General features: G+C 54.1%; 3 protein-coding genes across 10 annotated transcripts, besides 2 other annotated features; 2 read left to right on the top strand and 1 right to left on the bottom strand.

Annotated features, from left to right (window-relative positions):
• Positions 97-8,734, top strand: TFPT (TCF3 fusion partner). 3 transcript variants are annotated; one of them, NM_013342.4, is made up of 6 exons: positions 97-507; positions 1,054-1,312; positions 5,633-5,703; positions 7,359-7,428; positions 7,510-7,728; positions 8,585-8,734. In NM_013342.4, the coding sequence occupies exons 1-6, from the start codon at positions 485-487 to the stop codon at positions 8,702-8,704; spliced, it is 762 nt and encodes a 253-aa protein (NP_037474.1). In that variant the 5' UTR covers positions 97-484; the 3' UTR covers positions 8,705-8,734. The 3 variants fall into 3 exon arrangements, with proteins under 3 accessions (NP_037474.1, NP_001308721.1, XP_005278318.1); NM_001321792.2 differs by lacking the exon at positions 97-507 and adding an exon at positions 680-714; XM_005278261.2 differs by lacking the exon at positions 97-507 and having other exon boundaries at positions 1,174-1,316.
• Positions 938-1,811: an enhancer, noted in NCBI's record as "H3K4me1 hESC enhancer chr19:54617323-54618196 (GRCh37/hg19 assembly coordinates)". NCBI's record gives its function as "activates a minimal SCP1, AML or CMV promoter by ChIP-STARR-seq in naive H9 embryonic stem cells {active_cell/tissue: H9 hESC(naive)}" and the evidence as "EXISTENCE:reporter gene assay evidence [ECO:0000049][PMID:30033119]".
• Positions 8,186-12,899, bottom strand: NDUFA3 (NADH:ubiquinone oxidoreductase subunit A3). Its single transcript, NM_004542.4, has 4 exons — positions 12,866-12,899; positions 12,566-12,640; positions 9,743-9,820; positions 8,186-8,943 (listed from the first exon to the last, which is right to left on the bottom strand). Exons 1-4 carry the CDS (start codon positions 12,873-12,875, stop codon positions 8,852-8,854), a joined length of 255 nt encoding a protein of 84 aa, NP_004533.1. The 5' UTR covers positions 12,876-12,899; the 3' UTR covers positions 8,186-8,851.
• Positions 12,134-13,110: an enhancer, noted in NCBI's record as "H3K27ac-H3K4me1 hESC enhancer chr19:54605952-54606928 (GRCh37/hg19 assembly coordinates)". NCBI's record gives its function as "activates a minimal SCP1, AML or CMV promoter by ChIP-STARR-seq in primed H9 embryonic stem cells {active_cell/tissue: H9 hESC(primed)}" and the evidence as "EXISTENCE:reporter gene assay evidence [ECO:0000049][PMID:30033119]".
• Positions 14,951-21,086, top strand: OSCAR (osteoclast associated Ig-like receptor). Of its 6 annotated transcripts, NM_130771.6 has the most exons (6): positions 14,951-14,998; positions 15,974-16,006; positions 16,153-16,164; positions 18,590-18,892; positions 19,601-19,882; positions 20,397-21,086. In NM_130771.6, the coding sequence occupies exons 1-6, from the start codon at positions 14,962-14,964 to the stop codon at positions 20,531-20,533; spliced, it is 804 nt and encodes a 267-aa protein (NP_570127.3). In that variant the 5' UTR covers positions 14,951-14,961; the 3' UTR covers positions 20,534-21,086. The 6 variants fall into 6 exon arrangements, with proteins under 6 accessions (NP_570127.3, NP_573399.2, NP_996554.2 ...); NM_133169.6 differs by lacking the exon at positions 16,153-16,164; NM_206818.4 differs by having other exon boundaries at positions 19,601-21,086.
• Positions 21,087-21,292: the final 206 nt, after the last annotated feature.

The following is a 21,292-nucleotide window of genomic DNA, read 5'->3' as shown; positions in this document are numbered from 1 at the left end:
GATGACGTCTCACTCTCGCGCCGTTATAGAGGCAAAGCTACTCTCTGATTGGTCCCCGCTCGCGATGTTCCTGGCCGCATTTGAAACAACAACTTTATTAGCACCTGGCACTAGGCGGAGAGAGGCGGTAAGCCGCGAGGAGGAAAGGGACTCACGTCCCGCTGTGGACCGATCCTGCTAAGCAGAGAATCGCTGTGGCCGGACGACGGGGCGTCGAGACAAGAAGAAAGACGTTGGCAACTCAGAGGACTGGTTGCGGCGTTAGACAAGAAAGCAAGGCCTTTAAGCAGGGATTCGGGGTGGACGTGGGGGTGGGCCGAAGCGAAGCCGGAAACAGGAAACTACAACTCCCACAAGGCCTAGGGCCACGTCCCGCCGTCCTCGGCTGCTGAGCCTGATGGGACAAGTAGTTTTGCGAACGGCTTAACCTACAGATTGAAGAGGTCGGAAGCTCTGAGGCCCGGGGCTTCCGGAGGTCGCGGAGATGGAATTGGAGCAGAGAGAAGGGTATGTGGCTGAGCCCTTGTGAAAAAGTGCGAATCCCAGAAAACAGTGCAGCTGCATTGTGTGCAACCATATGAGCTTTTACGCTGAGGTCTGATGGGGGTTGTAGTTCATGCAACTGCTTTACCTTAGAACCCTTTTATGGACTGGGGTCATCCTGAGGGAGGAGAAGGTTAGGGGTTTGGACTGCTGGATCTGACAGACTAGGAGGTTGGAAGCCAGGACTCTTGCGTCTGGTTGAGGGTTGGGGCTTGGACTCCCTGGGTCCTTGGAGAGAAAAAGTCTGGAGGTCTGGACTCTTGCATCCTGGGAGGAGGGGGTCAGGGCTTGAACCCTGTGGGTGCTGCGAAGGGTGGGTTGCGGACTTGGACTTCTGGGTCTGAGGGAGGAGGGCTGGGAGCTGGATTCTACGGTCTGAGGGAGGAGGGGCTGGGGGCCTGGATTCTAGGATCTCAGGGAGGAGGGGTTGGGGTCTGGGCTCCTGGTTCAGTGGGAGAAGGGGCTGGGGGTCCAGGATCCAGGGCCCCTGAGCCTTTCCCTGCCTCTCAGGACCATGGCAGCCGTGGGCTTTGAGGAGTTCTCAGCGCCGCCAGGCTCAGAGTTGGCGTTGCCTCCCCTATTTGGTGGCCACATCCTGGAGAGCGAGCTGGAGACGGAAGTGGAGTTTGTGTCAGGTGGTCTGGGCGGCTCAGGGCTCCGGGAGCGAGATGAAGAGGAAGAGGCAGCCCGGGGTCGGCGGCGGCGCCAGCGGGAATTAAATCGCAGAAAGTACCAGGCACTAGGTCGGCGCTGCCGGGAGATCGAGCAGGTAGGTGAGTGCGGATCCCCCGGTTTTGGGGTCCCCTGGCCTAAACTACCGCCCCCCGCAATCTCTGCCTTTCCACATGCCCAGCCTTTCTTGGCTTGCTGATATATTCAGTCATTTAGCTTATATATTCAGTCATTTAGCATGCATTATGTGTCTGGCCCTGTGCCGGGCCCCTGGAAGGGCCATCTCCCGTGGAGCTTCCCTGACAACGCAGATGGGTTCTCTGATGTCTCCCGGGGGCCTCTCAATGCGTGGCACCGCTCACAGGTGAAAGCCCAAGCTCTTCACATCTCCCATACCCCTGCCAGGATTCACTCCTCTCGACTCATTCATTCCGCCTCTTGAGTGTCTCTGGACCCTTCTCCTCTCCTCCATCCCTATGGCTGCCATTGCAAACTCCAGCTGTCTGGGCTGAATGACTGCAATAGCCTCCTTGCTGAGAATAAGGATGGGCTGGGCATGGTGGCTCACGCTTGTAATCCTAGCACTGGGAGGCTGAGGCAGGCGGATCACCTGAGGTTAGGAGTTCGAGACCAGCCTGGCCAACATGGTGAAACCCCATCTCTACTAAAATACAAAAAAATTAGCCAGGTGTGGTGGTGCGCACCTGTAGTCGCAGCTACTAGGGAGGCTGAGGCATGAGAATTGCTTGAACCCGGAAGGCGGAGGTTGCAGTGAGCCAAGATCATGCTGCTGTACTCCAGCCTGGGTGACAGAGTGAGACTCCGTCTCAAAATCAATCAATCAATCAATGAGGATTAAACAGCAGGCAGGGCTCAGATCTTGGCAGGCCAGGAACACCAGGACAAGAAGTCTGGATATTTTTTTTTCCTTGAGAGTGAAGGAGCCACTGAAGGGTTTCAAATGGGGGAGGAACAGCATCAGGTCTGGATGCCTGAAACTCTGAAGACAGTTGTATTAGTCTGCTTGGACTCCCAGAACTTATCACAAATAGGGTCCCTCAAGCACAGAAATTCCTGTCTGACAGTTCTGGAGGCTAGACATCCAAGGCAAGGTGTCGACAGGGTTGTGAGAATCTTCCAGGCCTCTCCCCTGGCTTCTGGAGGTTTCTGGCAGTCATTGGCACGTACAAACATCACCCTGATCTCCGCCTTCATCTTCACATTGCTGCTCCCTGTGTGTGTGTCTGTGTCCCAATTTACCCTTTTTATAAGGACTCCAGTCATACTGGATTAGGGCCCACCCACTGGCTTCATTTGAACTTGATTACTTTTGTAACGACACTGTCTCCATATAAGGTGATCCTGAGGTACTGGGGGTTAAAGCCTCAACACCCTCTTTTGGGGGAAATAATTCAACTTTTTTTTTTTTTTTTTTTTTTTTTTTTGAGGTGGAGTCTCGCTCTTGTCTCCCAGGCTGGAGTGCAATGGCACCATCTCAGCTCACTGTAACCTCCACCTCCTGGGTTCAAGTGATTCTCCTGACTCAGCCTCCCTAGTAGCTGGGATTACAGGCGCCCGCCACCACACCCAGCTAATTTTTCTATTTTTAGTAGAGACAGGGTTTCACCATGTTGGTCAGGCTGGTCTCAAACTCCTGACCTCAGGTGATCTGCCCACCTCAGCCTCCCAAGGTGCTGGGATTACAGGCTTGAGCCACCACGCCTGGCCTTCAACTCTTTTTCTCTTTCTTGAGACAGGTTCTCACTTTGTCACCAAAGCTGGAGTGCAGTGGCGCAATCTCAGCTCATTGCAGCCTCAGTCTCCCAGGTTCAAGCAGTCCTCCTGCCTCAGCCCCCAAAATAGCTGGGACTACAGGCACACACCACCACACCTGGCTAATTTTTGTACTTTTTGTAGAGATGGGGTTTTGCCATGTTGCCCAGGCTGGTCTTGAACTCCTGACCTCAAGTGATCCACTCGCCTTGACCTCCCAAAATGCTAGGATTACAGGCATGAGCCACCACATCTGGCCTCAATTCTTAATGACAGTATTGGGGAGTTCTGTAAGGAGGAAGGCTAGAGGCCAGGGGCATATTCCAAACCCTGTTTAACAGACAGACACCAAGGCCCAAACGGACTCAACTGGAGCCTCTGCCATTAATCCACCCCCAGGAATAGATTACTACTATTTTACAAGTATAGAAAATCAAGGCTCAGAGAGGTTAAGTAATGCACCCAAGCTCAGAGCTCAGCAGTGGCAGATCTGAGATTTTTTTTTTTTTTTTGAGACAGGGTCTTTCTCTGTTGCCCAGGCTGGAGTGCAGTGGCATGACTGTGGCTCACTGCAGCCCCAACATCCTGGACTCTAGCAATCTCAGCCTCCGAAGGAGCTGGGACTACAGCCACCAAGCCCAGCTAATTTTTTTGGTTAGTTTTTGAGTGTTGGGGTCTCACTCTGTTGCCCAGGCTGGTGTCGAACTCCTGGCCTCTCAAAGTGCTGGGATTATAGGCATGAGCCACTGTGCCAAGCCAGAGCCAAAACTTGAACTCTTTTTTTTTAGATGGATTTTCGCTCTTGTTGTCCAGGCTGGAGTGCAATGCTGCAATCTCAGCTCACTGCAACCTCCGCCTCCTGGGTTCAAGCGATTCTCCTGCCTCAGCCTCCCGAGTAGCTGGGATTACAGGCATGCGCCACTACACCTGGCTAATTTTGTATTTTTAGTAGAGACAGGGTTTCACCACGTTAGGCTGGTCTCAAACTCCTGACCTCAGGTGATCCGCTCGCCTTGGCCTCTGAAAGTGCTGGGATTACAAGCGTGAGCCACCGTGCCTGGCACTTTTTTTTTTTTTTTTTCTTTTGAGACAGAGTCTTACTCTGTCACCCAGGCTGGAGGGCAGTGGTGTGATCTCGGCTCACTGCAACCTCCAGCTCCTGGGTTCAAGCGATTCTCCTGCCTCAGCCTCCTGAGAAACTGGGATTACAGGCATGCGCCACCATACCCAGCTAATTTTTGTATTTTTCTTTTTTTTTTTTTTTTTTTAGTAGAGATGAGGTCTCATCATGTTGGCCGGGCTGGTCTGCAACTCCCGACCTCAAACTCTTGAGTAGCTGAGATTACAGGCATGTGCCACAACATCCGGCCAATTTTTGTATCTTTAGTAGAGACGGGGTTTCACCATGTTGGCCAGGCTGGTCTTGAACTCCTGACCTCAAGTGATCTGCCCGCCCCGGCCTCCCAAAGTGCTGGGATTACAGGCGTGAGCCACTGTGCCCCGCCCGGAACTCAGGTCTTTCTGACCCAGGAGCAGCACCTGCTTCAGCCACTGTCTTTGGGTCCCTGTTTGGCTGAGTCACATCTCTCCCTCCATGTCTAGGCTGGAGTCCTCAGAAGCTGCGTGCAGGGCTGTCCCCTCAGCCTGGCATACTTTCCTCCTGTCACCCCTTTGTCTCCTCCTTATTCAAGTCTGGGCCCACGGGCCTTCTCTGCAGGTCGTAACTAAAGTCGCACCTCCTGCCCTAACCTCCAGCATGTCTGACTCTTTGGTATTCACCAAGCACTTCTCACTTTGCAAAGTCATTGATTCTGCAAATGTTCATCGAGGATGTACTACGTGCCAGGCTCTGGTTAAGGCACGGGATGTAGAAACAAGTTGCTGTCGTTTTTCAGCTCATGCTCTGGCTGGAGAGGCGGTCAGTCAGCAGAATAAGCAAAGAGGCGGAGAGGCTGCGTCCTGCCTCCTCAGATGAGCACTAGGAGGAAATAAAGCCAGGAGTGAATGGCCGGGTGGGGTTCTGGCATGGGAAGGGGGGTCGGGTGTGTTGCAATTTTTTTTTTTGAAACAGAACCTCGCTCTGTTGCCCAGGCTGGAGTGCAGTGGGGTGATCTCAACTCACTTCACCCCTCCACCTCCCAGGTTCGTGCGACTATCCTGCAGGCACCTGCCACCACGCCCAGCTAATTTTTTGTATTTTTAGTAGAGATGGGGTTTCATCATGTTGGCCAGGCTGGTCTCGAACTCCTGACCTCAGGGGATCTACTCGCCTCGGCCTCCCAAAGTGCTGGGATTACAGGCGTGAGCCACCGCACCTGGCCTGGTGTGTTTCGACTTAATGGGAGGTTCAGGCTCTCTGAGCAGGTAACAGTTGACCTAAGACTTGGAGTGGGGAGTAAGTTGTGCGGATGACTGGGGAGAGGGTCCAGGTAGAGGAACAGCACGCGGAAGGCCCCCACTGGAGGGCACTCAGGACTGTGGCATGGTGAGAGGGGAGCCGGAGGGATGGGAAGGTGGAAGGACCTCAGGCCACGGGATGGTCTTTGGCCAGTCTCCAGAGTTTAGTGCGTGCCCCATTAAACATCCGTTAAACAAATGAACGGGAGCCGTGGGATCCAGCTGATGGGCGTTTCCCACCCCATAGGTGAACGAGCGGGTCCTGAACAGGCTCCATCAGGTGCAGAGGATAACTCGGAGGCTGCAGCAGGAACGGAGGTAACCCCTTCTCTGTCCCCTCTGGGCCTGTGAGCCTCAGCTCCCAAATGCTCCCAGCCCCTCTGTCTCTCCCACTTCCACATCCACCCAACCCTCACAAGCCACAAGGAGAAGCCGGAGATGAGGGCCGGGGGCTGAGGCAAACAAGGAGGAAGAGTGGGATTCGGTGTTGGAGGAGAGGGCTGAGCACTGGGACTGAGGGAGGGCCGGGTGGAGAGGGCTGAGCACTGGGACTGAGGGAGGGCCGGGTGGAGGGCATCCTCCCCCTGAAGGGAGGGAACAGCAGGATGGAAGGCACACGAGCACAGACCTGACTGCAAGTATTTTCTTTTTTTTTTGCTGTGTGACTCTAAGCAAGCAGTGTCCCTTCTCTGAGCTGTTTCCTATCAACTAAGGGCAGCACCAATATCATGAGGCTGCGGCAGGGTTGTCGGAGCTTGCAGGTGGTGAGCTGAGCTCAGAGCTTCCCACTGTGTGTCTCCACAGAACCTGCCCAGGTGGCTGCTGCCCCTGCCACTCGCAGTGTCCCTGTACCAGCAAAACTGGAGCAAGTTTTGTAGGAATGGCTCCACGTTGCTGAGTCAACCACAGTTCTCATCTCAGTCCTTGGCTCAGGCTCGGCACAGTGGCCCAGGGCTATGTGCTCTTCCCTGGAGCCCATTCTTGCCATCCTGGGCACCCAGCAACCTGGGGTCTCCTGCCTTTCCGGCTGTTCCTTCTTGGCTGCCTCTGCTAGTTCATCCTCCCTCCCCAAAGCTGAAACCTGCGGCTCCCAGGGTTCCTCTGTCCGTACCTGTGCTGTCCAGCACGGTAGCCGCTGGCCACAGGTGAGATTTTCACTTAAGTTGAAATAGGCCGGGCGCAGTGGCTCATCATGCCTGTAATCCCAGCACTTTGGGAGGCCGAGGCAGGCGGATCACGAGGTCAGGAGATCGGGACCATCCTGGCTAACACGGTGAAACTCCGTCTCTACTAAAAATACAAAAAAATTAGCCGGGTGTAGTGGCAGGCGCCTGTAGTCCCAGCTACTCGGGAGGCTGAGGCAGGAGAATCGCTGGTACCAGGGAGGTGGAGGTTGTGGTGAGCCAAATTCACGCCACTGCACTCCAGCCTGGGTGACAGAGTGAGATTCCGTCGCAAAACAACAACAACAAACCTGCCCAGGTGCTGGTGCAGAGGAGGCATTCCATCAATTGAACCTTAAGGAACTCTGGAGGCAGGGGCTGGGGAAAAAAGAGAAGGGGGTGTTTATAAGAGGTGAGGTCATTAGGAGGAGCGTTCTGTACTCCCCTCTCTTCAGTTATCAATAAAAATTATAACTCACATATGAATGTTTACTAAGTGCTGACATCACATTAAGTACAGAAATCGTCTGGTGTCACTACTTCAGTGTCACCGCTGCAACATCCAGCCGAGGGTGTCATGTCGTTTGCAGAGCAGGAAACTCAGCCTCAGAATGGTTGCCTTGTCTTGCTCGAGGTCTCAAGGCTGGTCAAGGGCATGGCTCCCAGGCCTCCAGTGCCAGAGCTCAGGACCGTCTGGCTCCAGGACAGCTTTGGCGTTGAGTGGAGTGGGAGCTGAGCTCTATCCTGTGGCCCTTTTCCCCAGCCGCTAGGAGATAAGTTATTCCGTTGGTGGCTTCTCCCCCTGAGCAGGTTCCTCATGAGAGTGCTGGACTCCTACGGGGATGACTACCGGGCCAGCCAGTTCACCATTGTGCTGGAGGTGAGTGTTGGGCCTCCAGGAGGGTCAGGAACTGGGAGCTCAGGACCCACCCATCACCTACCTCCCCCTCCTGCCTGCCAGGATGAGGGCAGCCAGGGCACGGATGCCCCCACCCCAGGCAATGCGGAGAATGAGCCTCCAGAGAAAGAGACACTGTCCCCGCCCAGAAGGACTCCTGCACCCCCAGAACCCGGCAGCCCAGCCCCCGGTGAGGGGCCCAGTGGGCGGAAGAGGCGGCGAGTGCCACGGGATGGACGCCGAGCAGGAAATGCGCTGACTCCAGAGCTGGCCCCGGTGCAGGTGAGGAAGGCGGGAACTCAAGGGGAGGGACTGGGGCTCCAGAGCCGGCGCCAGTGCAGGTAAGGAGGGGGGACTCAAGGGGAGGGGCCAGGGCTGGGGCTGAGTTAGGTTCAGGGCTCTTGGGTTTTGGTTCTGCACCCCGAGGGGCCCAGGGCTGGGGAAAGTTGGAGAAGGGAGGTGAACCAGGACATGTTGGAGGCCTAGGATCAGGCAGGGAAGTAGTTGGAAAAAGTGGGGTAAAGGCTTGGGTAAAAAGGAGGCAAAGTTGGAAAGGGAAAGAGGAAGACCTGGAGAAGGAAAAATAGCTAGAGAAGGCTGGGAGTAGAGGAGAAGGAAGGATCAGAGAAGACGGAGTGGAAGGGAAGGCCCAGTGTGGGGAGGAAAGCTGGAAGAACATCTGGACCCAGGAACACTGGGATTGCCTCTGAGGTGTAAGGAGGAAGGTGACTGGCCTGGGCAGACAAGAACTGTGAGGCTGGCCAGGTGCAGTGGCTCATGCCTGTAATCCCGGCACTTTGGGAGGCCTAGGTGGGAGGATCACTTGAGGCCAGGAGTCTGAGACCTGCCTGAGCAACATACTGAGACCCCATCTCTACCAAAAAGAAAAAACATGTTAGGCTTGGTTGGCAAGTGCCTGTAGTCCCAGCTACTTGGGAAGCTGAGGTGGGAGGATCACTTGAGCCTGGGAGGCAGAGGCTGCAGTGAACTATGATGGCACCACTGCACTCCAGCCTGGGCAACAGAGTGAGACCCTGTCTCTTTAAAAAGCAAAACAAAATGAAAACAAAAATGGTGAAGCTGATGGGATTTTCTAGATTCCCAGGCCTGTTAACACCTTGTTCCTTATCTCCTGCAGATTAAGGTTGAGGAAGACTTTGGCTTTGAAGCAGATGAGGCCCTGGATTCCAGTTGGGTTTCTCGGGGTCCAGACAAACTGCTGCCCTACCCGACCCTGGCCAGCCCAGCCTCTGACTGACGCATGCCCAATAAACTGACCCCACACTCACCCCGGCCACCGTCTACTTGTTCCCACCTCTGATCACACACATGCTCACGTTCGGGGGTTGGTTTTCACATTTTTATTGGGAGCCGTGGGAGGGGCCGCCTCTGTCAGTGGAGGTGCTCACAGTTTCTTCAGCCACTCCAGGCTGGGGCCCTGAGGGTCCTGGGGGTGGCTGGGCACGTCGGGCATGTTCCCATCATCACGGACGGGCACTGTGGGGCAGGAGGTGGGCCACTGAGACCAGCACGTCTCCAGGGCCCTGGAGAGAAGAGCTGGTCTGTCGCTTTATGTTCAGAGAGGGAAGGGGGACCCCAGGGGTGAGAGGGGAAGGGTCAGAGAATCAGTGATGCAGAAAGAGGCGGGAAATACAGAGACTGAGAGACACGGAAAACCAGAGAGATAGCGAGGGAGAGATCCCGCGCACTAGAGAGCTAGGGTCAAAAGAGATGGGGAAACAGGACAGAAACCTGAGAAGATGGAGACCAAGAAACCACCACAGATGGGAACCCAGAGAGAGACAGAAATCTGGAAAGGTAATAGAAACTCGAAGCACAGGCCAGGCGCGGTGGCTCACACCTGTAATCCCAGCACTTTGGGAGGCCGAGGTGAGTGGATCACAAGGTCAGGAGATCGAGACAATCCTGGCTAACACGGTGAAACCCCGCCTCTACTAAAAAAATACGAAAAAGTTTGCGTGTCGTGGTGGCGGGCACCTGTAGTCCCAGCTACTCGGGAGGCTGAGCTTGCAGTGAGCTGAGATCGCGCCACTGCACTCCAGCCTTGGCGACAGAGCGAGACTCTGTCTCAAAAAAACCCCAAAAAACAAAAACGAAGCACAAACACAGAATAGTATACGAATTATATCTCAATTCTTAAAAAATGGAACGGGGGGTCCGGGCACCACTGCAGAATCTCTGATAACTGCTTAGGAAAGACCTGCCCATAACTGCCCTTACGCCAGCACAGGGAGGCTGGGCCTATTCCGGGGATCCCTGCCTGGCCCCCACTCACCTGGGTAGTTGTAGGGCGTGGCCTTGTTGATCATGACGGAGTACTTGAAGTAGGGGCTCAATGGGGGCAGAATTACAGCTGTGGAGAGACACAGGGGTGAGGCCCAGGGGAAGGTGGCTCTGAAGAGAGGGGAAGAGAAGGTGAGCCTTGGCAAAGGGAAGATAAAGTGCGCAGGGGGAGGGCAGCAGGGAGGGCCAGCACGTCCAGGAGGATCCTTGGTACCTTGGGATCCCTACTTATAGACAGGAGGGTTTAAAACTCTTTTTTGGGGGGTTAAGTGGAGGTAGGGGTTGGAGCCTAACACTCACAGATACGTGGGGCCTGGAGGAGGCAGCAGTGGGGTTGGTCATGGAATGAGCACGTTTGAGTGTAGGGTCATCATGGAGCATCCTGGGGGTAGTGTCATGGGACTGTTCTGGAGAAATCAAGACTGTTACAAATTTGGCCGGGCACAGTGGCTCAAGCCTGTAATCCCAGCACTTTGGGCGGCCAATGTGGGCGGATCACCTGAGGTCAGGAGTTCGCGACCAGCCTGGACAACATGATGAAACCCCATCTCTACTAAAGATACGAAAATTAGCCGGGCGTGGTGGCAGGAGCCTGTAATCCCAGCTACTCAGGAGGCTGAGGCAGAAGAATCCCTTGAGCCTGGGAGGCAGAGGTTGCAGTGAGCCCAGATTGTGCCATTGCACTCCAGCCTGGGCAACAGAGAGAGACTCCATCACCAAAAAAAAAAAAAAAAAAAAAGCCTTACAAACTGGAGGAGAAAGGGTTGCACAAACAACAGTCACTGACCACAGTCCATTTAGGGTGGGAGCCAGGAGTCCTGGGGGATGGGGTACAGTTCATAAAAGGAATGTTCTAGGCCAGTGCTGTCTGACAGATGGTAAGAGCCAGGTATATAATTTTATATCTTCTAGTAGCTACAGTAAAAATAAGAGATACAGATGAAACAAATTTTAAGAAACATACTTGGATGGGCGAGGTGGCTCATGCCTATAATCCCAGGACTTTAGGAGGCTGAGACGGGTGGATCACCTGAGGTCAGGAGTTCGAGACCAGCCTGACCAATATGATGAAACCCCGTCTCTACTGAAAATACAAAAACAGCCAGGTGTAGTGGCATGCGCCTGTAATCCCAGCTACTAAGGAGGCTGAGACAGGAGAATCGCTTGAACCCGGGAGGCGGAGGTTGCAGTGAGCCGAGATCAGGCCATTGCACTCTAGCCTGGACAAAAGCGAAACTCCGTCTCAAAAAAACAAAAACAAACAAACAAAAAAAACCATAGTACATCCAAAACATCACTTCGCCATGTAATCAACAAAAGATTATTGGTAGTTTACACACTCTGTTATACTAAGTTTTTGAAATCCAGTGTCTTATACCACCTCAATTCATACCAGCACCACTTCAAATGCTCAGTGGCCAGTTGTGGCTGGTGGCTGCCATACTGAATAAGTGTTCAGAACCTTAACCTAGTGCCTGGCTGGTGGACCAGCAGTACTGACAAGACCTGGGAACTCTTCAAAAATGCAGAATCCCATGCCCCACCCCAGACCTACAGAATCAGAACCTACAGTTTGGCCGGGCGCAGTGGCTCACCCCTGTAATCCCAGCACTTTGGGAAGGCAGATCACTTGCGGTCAGGAGTTCAAGACCAGCCTGGCCAACATGGTGAAACCTTGTCTCTACTAAAAATACAAAAATTAGCCGGGCGTGGTGGTGCTCGCCTGTAATCCCAGCTACTTGGGAGGCGGAGGCAGGAGAATCACTTGAACCCTAGAGGCGGAGGTTGCAGTGAGCCATGATCAAACCATTGCACTGTAGCCTGGAAGACAGAGCGAGACGCCATCTCAAAAAAAAAAAAAAAAAAAAGCTGGCCGGGCGCGGTGGCTCACGCCTGTAATCCCAGCACTTTGGGAGACCGAGTTGGGAGGATCACGAGGTTAGGAGATCGAGACCATCCTGGCTAACACGGTGAAACCCCGTCTCTATTGAACATACAAAAAATTAGCCGGGCATGGGGGCGGGCGCCTGTAGTCCCAGCTACTCGGGAGGCTGAGGCAGGAGAATGGCGTGAACCCGGAAGGCGGGGCTTGCACTGAACCGAGATCGCGCCACTGCACTCCAGCCTGGGCGACAGAGCGAGACTCAGTCTCAAAAACAAAAACAAAAAATTAGCTGGGCGCCTGTAATCCCAGCTACTCGGGAGGCTGAGGCAGGAGAATCCCTTGAACCCAGGAGGCCGAGGTTGCAGTGAGCCGGGATCGCGCCACTGCACTTCAGCCTGGGTGAGAGTGAGACTCCATCGCAAAAAAAAAAGCTACATTTTAACAATCCCCCGCCCCCATCCCTGCAGGAACTCCGGTGCTAATTAAAGTGTGAGTAGGGCAGTTCCAGGGCAGAGGGCAGAGATTTTCAATCAGCAAGGCACATTGGGATCATACGGGGATTTTCACAAGACACAGATTCCCCAGTCCCACCTCCACCCAAGCCAACTCAATTCAGAATGGGGGAGAGGAAAGATGAAAAGGAGGAGGAGGATCTGGACTTTTTTTTGGTGCTCAGGTGTTAAGGCATAAGCAGGGTTGAGAACGTCTCATTTAGAGGGGTTAAGAGCGTATTGGGTAGGTGGAGAGGAACGCGGGGGGCGATGGTGGAGAGGTTATAATGGGTATGGGGATAGATAAGGGGATGCCGTGGGGGTGCAGACACACTAGAGGGGACCCGAGGGCGGCGATAGGGCTTTAGGGGTACAAGATGGAGGGATGTAGGGGGACGGGGGTGGACGATGCAAGTTTGCGCCTGGAGCACTCACGCACCGAGGCCCCCGACGACGAAGGACACGACCAGCACTGGCTCCTTGTCCCAGGCATTCTTGAGGAAGGCGCCGACTCCTGAAGGGGTGGCAAGAAGCGTCACCCCTGCAAGTAGCTGCCCCCGGTGACCTCTAACCCTCTCGTGCCACCCCTGCCCTGGAGGAGCCCCCTCGTGACTTCTGCGTTCCCCTCCAGCACGGACCCCATCGCTTCCACCCCTGCCCTGCCGCACCTCAGTCCCAGGACCGCCCAGAGGTTCCCAGAACTACCCGAGCCCCGTGCGCCACCGGCACCTGCACTTACTCGCAGCCATCTTTGTCTCCGCGGCGGCGACAGCGGCGAGGACGCGGAGCACCCTGGGAGTTGTGGTCCCTATGCGCGAGAACCCGCTCCCAGGGCTGCGCGTGCGCCCTGGAGCACAAGTAGAGGCGAAAGCAAGGACGCGGAGCACTCTGGGAGTTGTGGTCCCTCTGTGCGACGGCCCGCTTTCGGAGCCTGCGCGTGCGCACTCGCGCAGAACAAAGATGGAGCCGTGGAGGTAAAGGAAGTGGTGTCAGGAGCAAGCGCAAGCCTGACTTTGCGGACCTGCGTGGAATCTCCTTAGTCTCAGCCTAGAAGTCGCTCCGGAGTGACTAGTCCTCCTGCTGCGACCCACCTAAGGCGGAACAAAATAGTCCCCATTTTATAGTTTATGTATGAAAGCCCATTTTACAGACGAAGAAACTGAGCCCGGGAGAAGGTGAATGACTAACCTGTCCTTCGAGGTCTCAGCTCAACATCGGCTCGTCCTGGAAGCGCTAGGTCTCATCCCAGATGGGTTAGGAGCTTTCTGCGGGCTCTCACAGTGCTCTGTTACCGCCATTATAGCTCAGATCACTTAAGAAACTGACCTGGTCTGGGCCAGGCGCGGTGGCTCACGCCTGTAATCCCAGCACTTTGGGAGGCCGAGGCGGGCGGATCACGAGGTCAGGAGATCTAGACCATCCTGGCTAACATGGTGAAACCCTGTCTCTACTTAAAAATACAACACAAATTAGCCGGGCGTGGTGGTGGGCGCCCGTAGTCCCAGCTACTGGGGAGGCTAAGGCAGGAGAATGGCGTGAACCCGGGAGGCGGAGCTTGCAGTGAGCCGAGATCACACCACTGCACTCCAGCCTGGGCGACAGAGCGAGACTCCGTCTCAAAAAAAAAGAAACTGACCTGGTCTTGGTCTTTCAGTCGGACTGGTAGCTGCTGCTTGAGAGCAGTAACGGAGTCTGAGTTCCCTCTGTGCCTGCCAACATGGCACAGCGAGGGTCTGGCACGTAATAGGTTCTAATTTTTTTTTTTTTCTTCTGAGATTGAGTCTAGCTCTGTCGCCCAGGCTGGAGTGCAATGGCGCGATCTCGGCTCACAGCAACCTCCGACTCCCGAGTTCAAGCGATTCTCCTGCCTCAGCCTCCTGAATAGCTGGGATTACAGGCGCGCGCCTCCACAGCCGGCTAATTTTTCTTTTTTAGGAGAGACGGGGGTTTCTCCATGTTGGTCAGGCTGGTCTCGAACTTCCCGACCTCAGGTGATCCACCCGCCTTGGCCTCCCAAAGTGCTGGGATTACAGGCGTGAACAACCGCGCCCGGCCTAGAGGGGCTAATTTTTATCTATCTATCTATCTAACACAGTATCACACCAAGAGCCTGGCACATAATAGGTGCTAATTTTTCTCTGTCAACCAATCTATCAATCGATCAATTAATCACAGCAAGGGCCTGGCACATAATTGGTGTTAATTTTTATCTATCCATCAATCAATCACAGCAAGGGCCTGGCACTTAACAGGTGCTAATTTTTATCTATCTATCTATCTATCTATCTATCTATCTATCCATCCATCCATCTATCTATCTTTCAATCACAGCAAGGGCCTGGCACATAATAGGTGCAAATTTTTATCTATCTGTCAATCAATGACAGCAAGAGTCTGGCACATAATAGGTTCTTATTTTTAAAACAGACAGATATCTTTCTATCTGTCTATCTATATTTAAAGACATGGTCTCACTCTATCACCCAGGCTGGAGTGCAGTGGCACAATTTATTTATTTATTTTTTAGACAGGGTCTCGCTCTGTTGCCCAGGCTGCTCTTGAACTCTTGGGCTCAAGCGATCCTCCTGCCTCCACCTCCTGACTAGTATTTGTTTCTAGAGTTAAATAAATGAACACCACAGGTTATGACTGAACCCCCTGCTAATTTTTCCACAGTGCCATAGGGCTATGACACAGTCACCCACAGGCCCCCACCTCGATACTCTCTTCCGTAAATGAGGATCTGGGTCTGGTTTTCTGATGTTGCCTCATTTCCTGGGAGGGGAGAGGGTGCGACCAAGCCCTGGCTCCAGCTCTAGCGGGTATCTGCCCACCATGGCCCTGGTGCTGATCCTCCAGCTGCTGACCCTCTGTGAGTCACCCCTTTCTTCTCCCTGGGTTCCTGGCTGGGGTTGGGGGCAGAGAGAGAGGCAATGGAGACCCAGACACCCTGCAGGGGGACCAGGCAGCAGGTTTGGGATTCTAGGTTCAAATAAAGAACAGGGCTGGGGCCCAGACCCCTGGGTCCTAAAGCAAGAGAACACAGATTCCCGAAAGAGGAAGGAGGTGGGGACAGGTATCTCTGGTTCTTGAGGCAGGAAGAGGTCAGGAGACAGGGAGGACTCCCAGATTCTTATATGGGAGGGGGATGGAAGCCAGGACTCCTGATTCCCTGGGAAAAGGGGGCTGGGAACAGGGCTCTTAGCTCCTGAGAGAAGAGGGAAATGGGGACCCAGATTCCTGAACTCGTGAGAGGAGAAACTCTACGATCATTGTTCCCTGGAAAGGTGGAGTTCAAGGGCCTGAACTCTTGGTTGCCCAGGCCAGAGGGGTCTGCGTTCAGACTTCTTCGGTAGGTGGGCAATGGATGTCCAAATTTCTGCCTACTGAGACAGGAGGAGGGAGGGATAAGATTCTCATTTCCCAGAGGAGATAGGAGCTGGGAACTCAGATTCCTGGGTTACCAATGAGATGGGGCTGGCCACAAAGGGTTTTGAAAAGAACTCGCTGTTGGGCGCAGCGGCTCATGCCTGTGGGAGCCGAGGCCCAGCACTTTGGGAGGCCGAGGCGGGTGGATCACCTGAGGACAGGAGTTCAAGACCAGCCTGACCAACATGGCGAAACCCCTCTCTACTAAAAATACAAAGATTAGCCTGGTGTGGTGGCGGGCACTTGTAGTCCCAGCTACTACGGAGGCTGAGGCAGGAGAATCACTTGAACCTGGGAGGCAGAGGTTGCAGTGAGCTGAGATCACACCACTACACTCCAGCCTGGGCGACAGAGTGAGACTCTGCCTCAGACAAAAAAAAAAAAAGGAAAAAGAAACTAGTCCCTCAACCTCCTACAGGGCCTCTGTGTCACACAGACATCACTCCGTCTGGTGAGTAGCCACCCCATCCACTCTCCTTTTGTTGCTGACACCCCTTTTCCAATTACTCAGATTTTATTTTGGTGCCCAATCCCATCCCAGATATCCTTATTTTCCTCCCTCCCTCCATTCCTTCCTTCTTTTCTCATTCCCCTTAGTGGCCATTATAGGTGAGTACTGAAGACCAGGAACTTCTGAGGCAGAGGCCTAAGCTAGGACCTCAGTTTCACCATCGTATTCATTTATATGTGACCATATGACCTAGAACAAGTCACAGCTTGCTAAGACTCCATTTCCTTCTCTGTAAAATGGGCCGCTGTGAGATCTCATCAAATCACATGTGCAAAACCCTGAGCCTGGCACAGTACAGGGCTTAAGAAATAGGATCTTGGGCTGGGCGCAATGGCCAACGTCTGTAATCCCAGCACTTTGGGAGGCAGAGGCGGGCGGATCACAAGGTCAGATCGAGATCATCCTGGCTAATGTGGTGAAACCCCGTCTCTACTAAAAAAAAAAAAAAAAAAAAAAAATTAGCCGGGTGTGGTGGGACGCACCTGTAATCCCAGCTACTCAGGAGGCTGAGGCAAGAGAATCGCTTGAACCCAGGAGGCAGAGGTTGCAGTAAGCTGAGATCGCGCCACTGCACTCCAGCCTGGGTGACAGTGCAAGACTCCACTTCAAAAACAAACAAACAAACAAAAAAAACTCTTTTGGAGATATTTCAGTGTCGCTATAGCTATCTCTACCTATTTATTTTATTTATTTATTTATTTATTTTGAGACCAGTTTCTCTCTGTCGCCCAGGCCGGAGTGCAGTGGTGCAATCTCGGCTCACTGCAACCACCTCCTGGGTTCAAGGGATTCTCCTGCCTCAGCCTCCTGAGTAGCTGGGACTACAGGCACACACCACAATGCCCGGATAATTTTTGTATTTTTAGTAGAGACAGGGTTTCCCCATGTTGGTCAGGCTGGTCTGGAACTCCTGACCTCAGGTGATCCCTCTGCCTCAGCCTCCCAAAGTGTTGGGATTACAAACATGAGCCCCCTCACCCGACCCTTATTTTTATTCATTTTTAGAGATGGGGTCTCATTGTGTCACCCGGGCTGGAGTACGGTGGCTCTATCATAGCTCACTGCAGCTTTGAATTCCTGGGCTCAGACAATCCTCCAGCCTCAGCCTCCCAAAGTGCATGCCACCATGGAGTTCTCACTCTGTTGCCCAGGCTGGAGTGCAGTGGCATGATCTCAGCTAACTGCAGCCTCCGACTCTAGGGTTCAAGTAATTCTCCTACTCAGCATCCCAAACAGCTGGAACTACAAGCTAGCACTACCACGCCTGGCTAATTTTTCTGTTTTTAGTAGAGATGGGATTTTACCATGTTGGTCAGGCTGGTCTTGAACTCCTGACCTCAGGTGATGCACCCACCTTGGCCTCCCAAAGTGCTGGGATTACAGCTGTGAGCCACCGGACCCAACAGCCTTCCTGTACTCTTAATTTGTGTGATTTGTGAATAAGTGATATCTGCCAGTACTATCATTTGTCCTCTAGTTTTGTCTTTTAGCATACACAACTTAAGAAATTTGAAGTGGTCAAATTAATTAATCTTCCATACAACTTTTTATTTTATATTTTAAGAAGCCTTCCTTACCCCAAGACAAATATATTTTCCTATAGTTTTTTGAATACTTTTATAGTTTAAAAAAAAAGAAACACAGGGTCTTTAATTAATCTGGAAGTTGTTTTGGGAAATGGTATGAGGTAGGGATCCAACATTTTTCTTTTCCAAATAGCAAGTTTTGGCAACTCTTGAAATACTATATTGCAAATATTCTGGAAAGCTATTTAAAATTAGAGTTCTGGCTGGGCGTGGTGGCTCACACCTGTAATCCCAGCACTTTGGGAGGCCGAGGTGGGAGGATTGCTTGAGCCCAAGAGTTCAAGAGTAGCCTGGGCAATATAGCGAATGCTCGTCTCTACTAAAAATTAAAAAAAAAAAAATTAGCCTGGTGTAGTGGCATGTGCCTGTGGTCCCAGGTACTCAGGAGGCTGAGGTGGAGGACTGTTTGAGCCCAAGAGATTGAGGCTGCAGTGAGTTGAGAACATGCCACTGCACTCCTGCCTGAGCAACAGAGCAAGACCCTGCCTCAAAAAAAAAAAAAAAAAAAAAAAAAAAAGTCTGGGTGTGGTGGCACAAGCTTGTAAACTTAGCACTTTGGGAGGCCGAGGTGGGAGGATTGCTTGAGGCCAGTAGTTTAAGACCAACCTGCTCAACATAGGGAGACCGCCCCCTCCCATCTCATTACTTAAAAATAATAATAATAATAAAATTACAGAGTTCTGGGACCTGACCTTTTGAAACTGTGTTTACAAACTGTGGAGTAAAGCTCAGAAGTTTCTGTCCTGCCCCTCTGATTTGCACCTGGTTTTAACAAGGCTTGATTGTAGTCCAGTCTCTCCCTGATTTTACAAACAGGAAACTGAGGCTAAGAAAGGGGCAGTAATTGTCCAAGGTGATTTTCCTCCTTCCCCAACTTCCCTTTCATCTTCTGGGGCTCCCAGGAGGCCCGAGGACCCAGGCAGCCCCGTTTATTCAGTCCCCCCAGCTTCATACCACCCTAAGCCATGGCTGGGAGCTCAGCCGGCTACAGTTGTGACCCCTGGGGTCAACGTGACCTTGAGATGCCGGGCACCCCAACCCGCTTGGAGATTTGGACTTTTCAAGCCTGGAGAGATCGCTCCCCTTCTCTTCCGGGATGTGTCCTCCGAGCTGGCAGAATTCTTTCTGGAGGAGGTGACTCCAGCCCAAGGGGGAAGTTACCGCTGCTGCTACCGAAGGCCAGACTGGGGGCCGGGTGTCTGGTCCCAGCCCAGCGATGTCCTGGAGCTGCTGGTGACAGGTGAGGTCCTGGGGTCGGGGAGGAGAAGTGGGTGGAACAAGGGAGTTGGGGGAGGGACAGAGAGATATAGGGAAAGAGAGACAGAGCGAGGCGGGCAAACAGATTCACAGACACAAGAAAAGACAGATACAGAGACACTAGGGGGAGAGAGAGAGACAGGGGAGCAGAGAGAGAGAGAGGTACAGTGCGGGGGGAGAGAGAGAGAAAGAGGCAGAAGGAGAAAGGGAGGCAGAGAGAGAGGGAGGCAGAGAGAGAGGGAGGCAGAGAGAGAGGGAGGCAGAGAGAGAGGCAGGCAGAGAGAGAGGGAGGCAGAGAGAGAGGGAGGCAGAGAGAGAGGGAGGCAGAGAGAGAGGGAGGCAGAGAGAGAGGGAGGCAGAGAGAGGGAGGCAGAGAGAGAGGCAGGCAGAGAGAGAGGCAGGCAGAGAGAGAGGGAGGCAGAGAGAGAGGGAGGCAGAGAGAGAGGGAGGCAGAGAGAGAGGGAGGCAGAGAGAGAGGGAGGCAGAGAGAGAGGGAGGCAGAGAGAGGGAGGCAGAGAGAGAGGGAGGCAGAGAGAGAGGCAGACAGAGAGAGAGACAGGCAGAGAGAAAGAGAGGCAGAAAGAGAGAGAGAGGCACAGAGAAAGCGAGAGACAGAGGAGAAGGAGAAACAGAGCGAGCGAGCGAGCGGAAGACGCTCACGCGGCCCCGGACTCTCACCCCGTCTCTGCAGAGGAGCTGCCGCGGCCGTCGCTGGTGGCGCTGCCCGGGCCGGTGGTGGGTCCTGGCGCCAACGTGAGCCTGCGCTGCGCGGGCCGCCTGCGGAACATGAGCTTCGTGCTGTACCGCGAGGGCGTGGCGGCCCCGCTGCAGTACCGCCACTCCGCGCAGCCCTGGGCCGACTTCACGCTGCTGGGCGCCCGCGCCCCCGGCACCTACAGCTGCTACTATCACACGCCCTCCGCGCCCTACGTGCTGTCGCAGCGCAGCGAGGTGCTGGTCATCAGCTGGGAAGGTGAGGGCCCTGAGGCCCGGCCCGCCTCCTCCGCCCCAGGAATGCAGGCCCCAGGACCTCCGCCCTCAGACCCAGGAGCCCAGGCCCCCAGCCTCTCCTCCTTCAGACCCAGGGGTCTAGTCCTGCAGCCCCTCCTCCCTCAGACCCAGGATTCCTGGGACCCAGCCCCTCCTCCCTCAGATCCAGGAGTCTAGTCCTCCAGCTCCTCCTCCCTCAGACCCAGGATTCCCGGGCCCCAGTACCTCCTCCCTCAGACCCAGGACTCCAGGCCCCCAGCCCCTCCTTCCTGGACCCAGGACTCCAGGCCCCCAGCCCCTCCTTCCTGATCCAGCAGTCCAGGCCCCAGCCCCTTCTTCCTGGACCCAGGAGTTGAAGCCTCCATCGACTCCCCCTCAACTTTGAGACTGTAGAGTCAGGTCCCTAAGTCCACCCCAGGGGCTGGAAACCTGGAGTTCAGGGCCCAGACTTTGGGGTCCGGGAGCTGATGGCCCCTCTCTCCCGGCTCCGCCCGCAGACTCTGGCTCCTCCGACTACACCCGGGGGAACCTAGTCCGCCTGGGGCTGGCCGGGCTGGTCCTCATCTCCCTGGGCGCGCTGGTCACTTTTGACTGGCGCAGTCAGAACCGCGCTCCTGCTGGTATCCGCCCCTGAGCCCCAGGAGCACTGCAGCCCGAGACTTCCAACCTGAGTGGCGGAGAAGCTGGGACCCTGGGCTGGACTGTCCTTTCCTGCAGCCCCACAGTCCTGCTGGCTGAGCTCCGCGGAACGGTCCTTAGACCCCGCTGTGCCCTGTGCTGTAGCTTCTTTCCAGGCCTTTCCCAAGGAGTAGCTGAAAGGAAGACGCGATTAGTGGTTAAGACTTCCAAGCCAGAAGACAGAGGGTTCGAATCCCAGCACTGCCGTCTACTCACTGTAGTAGTAGCAGCTACAGAAAGGTAGTAGTGAGACGTGAAGCCAGCTGGACTTCCTGGGTTGAATGGGGACCTGGAGAACTTTTCTGTCTTACAAGAGGATTGTAAAATGGACCAATCAGCACTCTGTAAGATGGACCAATCAGCGCTCTGTAAAATGGACCAATCAGCAGGACACGGGCGGGGACAATAAGGGAATAAAAGCTGGCGAGCGCGGCACCCCACCAGAGTCTGCTTCCACGTTGTGGGAGCTTTGTTCTCTTGCTCTACACAATAAATCTTGCTGCTGCTAACTCTTTAGGTCCGTGCCATCTTTAAGCGCTGTAACACTCACCACGAAGGTCCCTGGCTCCATTCTTAAAGTCAGCGAGACCACAAACCCACAGGAAGGAACCAACTCTGGACACGGTAGCAGCATTCAGAAAGCGCCCTTCCCCAACTCTCTCTTGCCTTGACGGTAAAATGGATGCACTGATAAAACCCACTTCATAGGATTGTT

This window comes from Homo sapiens, chromosome 19 (assembly GCF_000001405.40).
Source record: "Homo sapiens chromosome 19, GRCh38.p14 Primary Assembly".
NCBI lineage: Eukaryota > Metazoa > Chordata > Mammalia > Primates > Hominidae > Homo > Homo sapiens.
This window is presented reverse-complemented; position numbering and strand designations above follow the sequence as displayed.

What these genes read in the sequence shown, in the direction of transcription:
- TFPT (NM_013342.4), top strand. Translation starts at nt 485, where the DNA reads ATGGAATTGGAGCAGAGAGAAGG. An exon ending in GAATTGGAGCAGAGAGAAGG is followed by an intron (nt 508 to 1,053) that starts GTATGTGGCTGA and finishes CCTGCCTCTCAG; the next exon opens with GACCATGGCAGCCGTGGGCT. An exon ending in AGTTCACCATTGTGCTGGAG is followed by an intron (nt 7,429 to 7,509) that starts GTGAGTGTTGGG and finishes CCTGCCTGCCAG; the next exon opens with GATGAGGGCAGCCAGGGCAC.
- NDUFA3 (NM_004542.4), bottom strand. An exon ending in CTTCGTCGTCGGGGGCCTCG is followed by an intron (nt 9,821 to 12,565) that starts GTGCGTGAGTGC and finishes GTCTCTCCACAG; the next exon opens with CTGTAATTCTGCCCCCATTG. An exon ending in CACGCCCTACAACTACCCAG is followed by an intron (nt 8,944 to 9,742) that starts GTGAGTGGGGGC and finishes CCTGCCCCACAG; the next exon opens with TGCCCGTCCGTGATGATGGG.
- OSCAR (NM_206818.4), top strand. Translation starts at nt 14,962, where the DNA reads ATGGCCCTGGTGCTGATCCTCCAGCTGCTGACCCTCT. An exon ending in CCTCCAGCTGCTGACCCTCT is followed by an intron (nt 14,999 to 15,973) that starts GTGAGTCACCCC and finishes AACCTCCTACAG; the next exon opens with GGCCTCTGTGTCACACAGAC. An exon ending in CCTGGAGCTGCTGGTGACAG is followed by an intron (nt 18,893 to 19,600) that starts GTGAGGTCCTGG and finishes CCGTCTCTGCAG; the next exon opens with AGGAGCTGCCGCGGCCGTCG.